The sequence below is a fragment of the Homo sapiens genome, chromosome 9 (assembly GCF_000001405.40).
Source record: "Homo sapiens chromosome 9, GRCh38.p14 Primary Assembly".
Taxonomy (NCBI): domain Eukaryota; kingdom Metazoa; phylum Chordata; class Mammalia; order Primates; family Hominidae; genus Homo; species Homo sapiens.
Window position 1 is genome coordinate 101,020,490 of NC_000009.12, and position 5,303 is coordinate 101,025,792.

Below are 5,303 nucleotides of genomic sequence, written 5' to 3' on the forward strand. Positions count from 1 at the left end.
TCATGATTTAGTAAGATAAATTACTTTCCATATTTTATATATGAGAAAACAGGCTTAGAGTATCTTGCCTATGGGCATGTAGCTAAAACATTCCCTGACAGAGCTGGAATTCAACCCAATGTCAGCCTAATATCCTGTTTTTACTAGATTATGGGTATCATCAATATAATTCTTTTTGAGAGGGAAAGCTTGCTGGGAGGGAGCAATTGAAGGAGTGAACTACATTTATTTTTCTAATTTTAAAAATTGTGGTGAAATACATGCAACATAAAATTTACCATTTTAACCATTTTTAAGTGCAGCCATCACCATCATCCATCTTAAGAACATTTTTCATCTTCCAAAACTGAAACTCTACCCATAAGTAATAACTCCCTACTCCCTGCTACCTGCAGCCTCTGGTAACCACCATTCTACTTTCTGTTTATATGAATTTGATTATTCTAGGTACCTTACATAGGTAGAATCATACAGTATTTGTACTTTTGTGACTGGCTTAATTCTCATAGTATTCAAGGTTTATAGCATGCATCAGATTCTCCTTCCGTTTAAAGGCTGAATAATATTCCATTGTATGTATATGTATATGCTACATTTTATTTATCCATTCATCTGTCAATGGACACTTGGATTTCTTTTACATTTTGGCTATTGTGAATCCAAGTCCCTGTTTTCATTTTTAGGGGTATATACCCAAAAATGGAATTGCTGGAACTTATGGTAATTCTATGTTTAATTCTTTGAAAAATGATCATAGTGACTGCACCATTTTATATTCCCACCATTGGACCAAGGGTCCCAGTTTCTACAAATCCTTGTCAACACTTATTTCCTGTTTTTTTGTTTTGTTTTGTTTTGTTTTTTTAAATAAAAGCTATCCTAATGGGAGTGAAGTGGTATTTCATTGTGGTTTTGATTTGCTTAGTGATTTTGAACATTTTTTTATGGTGAAAAATTGGCCATTCATATATCTTCTTTGGAAAAATGTCTATTCAACTCCTTTGCCCATTTTTTAATTGGGTTGGTTTTTTTCCTGTTGTTGAGTTGCAGTTCTTTATACAGTCTGGATATTAATACCTTATCAGACATATGAGATATATGGTTTGCAAGTATTTCCTCCCATTCCATGGGTTGCCTTTTTACTCTGTTGATAGTGTCCCTTGAAGGTTTTAGTTTTGATGTAGTCTAATTTATCTGTCTCTTCTTTTGTTGCCTGTGCTTTTGGTGTCATATCTAAGAAATCATTGCCAAATCCAATATCATGAAGCTTTTCCACTCAGTTTTCTTCTAAGAGTTTTGTAGTTTTTGCTTGTGTTTAGGTTTTTGATCCATTTTGAGTTGATCTGTGTATATGGTGTGAGTGTCTAACTTCATTATTGTGCCTGTTGGCCACAATATTTGTTGAAAAAACTGTCTTTTCCCCCGTTGAATGGTCTTGGCAACTTTGTCAAAAGTAATTTTGACCATATATGTGAGGGTTTATTTCTGGGTCCTCTATTCCAATAGTCTACATGTCTGTCTTTAGGCCACTACTACCCTATTTTGTTTAGCTTTGTAGTAAGTTTTGAAATCAGGGAGTTTGGGACCTCCAATTTTTTTTTTTCTAAATTGTCTCTTTTTCTAATTGTCTCGGTTATTTGGGTTCCCTCAAATAACCTTGAGATTTCATATGAATTTTAAAATGGATTTTTCTATTTCTGCAAAAAAGATGTTGGAATTTTGATAGGGATTGCATTGAATTTGTAACTCAGAGTGAAATTTGAGTGAAATTTTTAGATAAGCTGAATTTCATAACTTGGACTGAATGTGGAAAAATGCTCAGACAGCAGCTCAACTTGTGTGAATTCAACTCAGAAGTGTTGCTCCTATACTGGGGCCTGTATAAGAATATATTTGTTTTATTGAGGTTGAGTTTATCTTTAGAGGCAGTTTTCCTAAGGTGCTAGTTATAATTAGAATATATTTACCTGCCCCATTTTAATAGGAGTATCATGCTCACACTATTGTTTTTATTTTCCTTTACAATATTCCTCTCACTGAACTTTTAGGGCTACAAAAGTTGGTTTTAGGTTAAAAATAGTATAGTTGCCCTTGCTTCCACTATTCCATGTGGAAAACACAGCCAATTGCCTTACAAAAAGGAAAAAAATAATTTTCCGAATACATTCTTAAGATAGTGTGAAAGCCACACTCGCTGATGAAGAGCCCCTAAACTGACAACAGACTAAGATTTCCTGCACAGATTTCATGGTTCTTATTATTTTCCTACAGGCAGGACAGAAAGAAAGATTGAAGTTCCTTCTACTGAATACATTACTGATGCCAGAGGTGAAGTGTGGAAAATGAAGAATTAGACTCAGGGTTGGCAATCTATAGCTTGTTGGCCAAATCCAGTCCACCACCTGTTGTTGTTGTTTTTTTTTAATACATTGGAACACAGCCATTCTCATTCTTTTATTCATTGTCCATGCCTGTAGAGCAGAGTAGTTGTGACAGAGGCCATATGGCCCACAAAGCCTAAAATATATACAATCTGGTGCTTTGCAGAATAAGTTTATTGACCCCTGGACTAGACTATTAAAAAGTGAGGATTGAGGGCTGGGTGTGGTGGCTCACCCCTGCAATCTCAGTATTTTGGGAGGCTGAAGCGGGTGGATAGCTTGAGGCCACGAGTTCAAGACTAGCCTGGCCAACGTGGCGAATCCCTGTCTCTACTAAAAATACAAAAATTAGCCTGGTGTGGTCACGCATGCCTGTAATCCAAGCTTCTCAGGAGGCTGAGGCACAAGAATTGAACCTAGGAAGGGGAGGTTGCAGTGAGCTGAGATCCTTCCACTGTACTCCAGTCTGAGTGACAGAGCAAGACTCTGTTTCAAAAAAAAAAAAAAAAAAAAAAAAAAAAAAAAAAGGATGATTGAGTAATTTAGTTCACTTCTCTCATTTTAAAGATAATAAAAATAAAGACATATGATTTATCAACCACTGGGAGTGAATGGTTCCATGTTGGCAGCATGGAACAGACTGAGAAAAAGAGATAGATGGGCTTTTGCAAACCTATCTCTCCTGGATTAGGGCAGAGTCCACAGAAGGGAAAATCTAGCAGTAGAATATCTACAAAATGTAAAGTCCAAGAGAGGTTGAATCACAATTCTCACATTTCCCAATGAGGCTTCTGAGAGGGATAACTGGGATGGCACCACGAGGTGGAATCAAACAGTGGTGGAATCAGTGATAGGTATCTGGGTCCTACTTGGGCAGACATGGAAAACTAGGTGGGAGTGGAGCTCCTAGTGTTGCTGGAGCAACACATGTGCATAGATCCTGGGGGCTGGGCCATATGAGGCATTAACCCAGGTTATAAACCACGGTATATGAAGAAACCTAGAAATCAGAGCATATGAAATAGCAACAAGCATTAGGTCCAAGGTGGGTGAGATGAGTCCATAAATAACAAAGAGATTCTTGAGATCTGTATCAGTCAGGGTCCCAGCAAGAAACATAAATCACCCTAAAATTAAGATAAAATTAAGATAATCTGAGGAGAGTACCAGAGTTGGTCTGTATGATTGAAAAAATGTGGCAGAAGTGATGGCCTGTTACTTCTGAGATTAGGCTATAAAAGACTGCAGCTTCTATTTTGGGATCTCTCTTTCTCTGATGATCATTCTTAATAAACTCCTTTATTAGGTGCATGAATTAATGAAAGATAAAAGATAAACAGGATGCCGATCCCCTGGTCCTCTCATCCTACTTTCCCTGTCTCAGAGTAGTTTTGATCAGAGATGAGACTGTTCATAGTTAAGCCTTCCTCCACCCCACAAACTCCTCATCACCCAAATTCCCATCCATGAAGACAGAACCAACTTCTTACTAGACCCTTACATGAAAACAGAACCAGCTTCTTACTAGACCCTTTCATTCAAGACAGCTATAGTAGAAATGCTGGGGGTAAAGTTCTGGGGGTGGTCCTTTTTGCTTTTTGGATTTTCTTGATGACAAAAAAGAGTTCTAACCATGATTTACCCAAATATTTTGTCCTACTTAGGGGCAAAGTTTAATACATTAGAACATTATTCTGGTGGATTAGTTTGGCCAGCATGAATCTATCCTTTGAATAATAGTACACTCTGAGCCAAAACTAATTCGCTTTCTAAACCAGAAAAATTAGAATGTGCTTAATATATATGTTTCCATGGGGATAAAAACTATCTACAGAAGCCTGATTTGCTTTTCTCATCTCAACTCCCATTTATAGATAATCACACACAAAACAGTGTCTACTGACTTCATCATCTATAAGGAATGCCAAGTATCATGGTACTTGGTAGTCTATTTCAAAGTCAACGTGTTACCAACATAAATTCACTTTTGGCAATGTATTTATTCATTTACTCCTTAAACATTTACTGAACAGATACATCTTTCTTATTTTCACAAGGCGCTAGGTGCATAAAAAAGAAATAAACTCTGCTCTTGAATGACTTACATCCAACCTAGGGGGGACAAGTCAGATATAAAAAAAGAACTTGATGTTAAGAGTTACAGTAAGAATATATGCAAAGGGCTATAGGGATAGTCTTGTAATAGTTTTTGATAGTTCCAGAAACACTTTGATTCTTGGAATAAGAAACCACTAGTTTAGCCTTTATACTAATGGCCTGACATTTTTATTGAACCAGAAAAGATTGCTATATATAAGAAATTTCTACAGGAAGAAAACATTATATATTTATTTGTCTTATTAGAGTGATTTTTGAAAAGAACCAAAATTATAGGTAGGATACAATTCAAATGGAAATGGTGTATTTCCTATTTCTTAGAAAATATTCAGAGCAGAATCTTTGCACATGCTATATCATGACAGAGTTATGTTACTTCACCTATATATAACCTAATGCAATTTTCATATAGTTTTCTTAGAAAACTATATGTAAACATAAAGAAAACTATAAGAAAATACAGTTTTCTAAGAATCCAGACACCTCAATAGCTTCCATAACTTGGGAGAATTTAATGTTCAGTCCTTTCATCTATTACTTGTTTTTATTAATTATAGAATTTTTTTGGATATTATGTTTTGAATAGCTACTTCTATTTAAAATTTAATAGCTAGTTTTCTTTAAAAATATAAAATTTCATATATAAAATATGTAATAAAAATATAATAAAATATATAATTTAATATATATAATATTAAAAAATATATAATTTCATATATATCCAGGCAACAATGCTGGGTTATTTTGCTGATATAGGAAATAAGGCCATTAGGTATGTTGCTTGGTTGGTAGAAGGAAGTACAA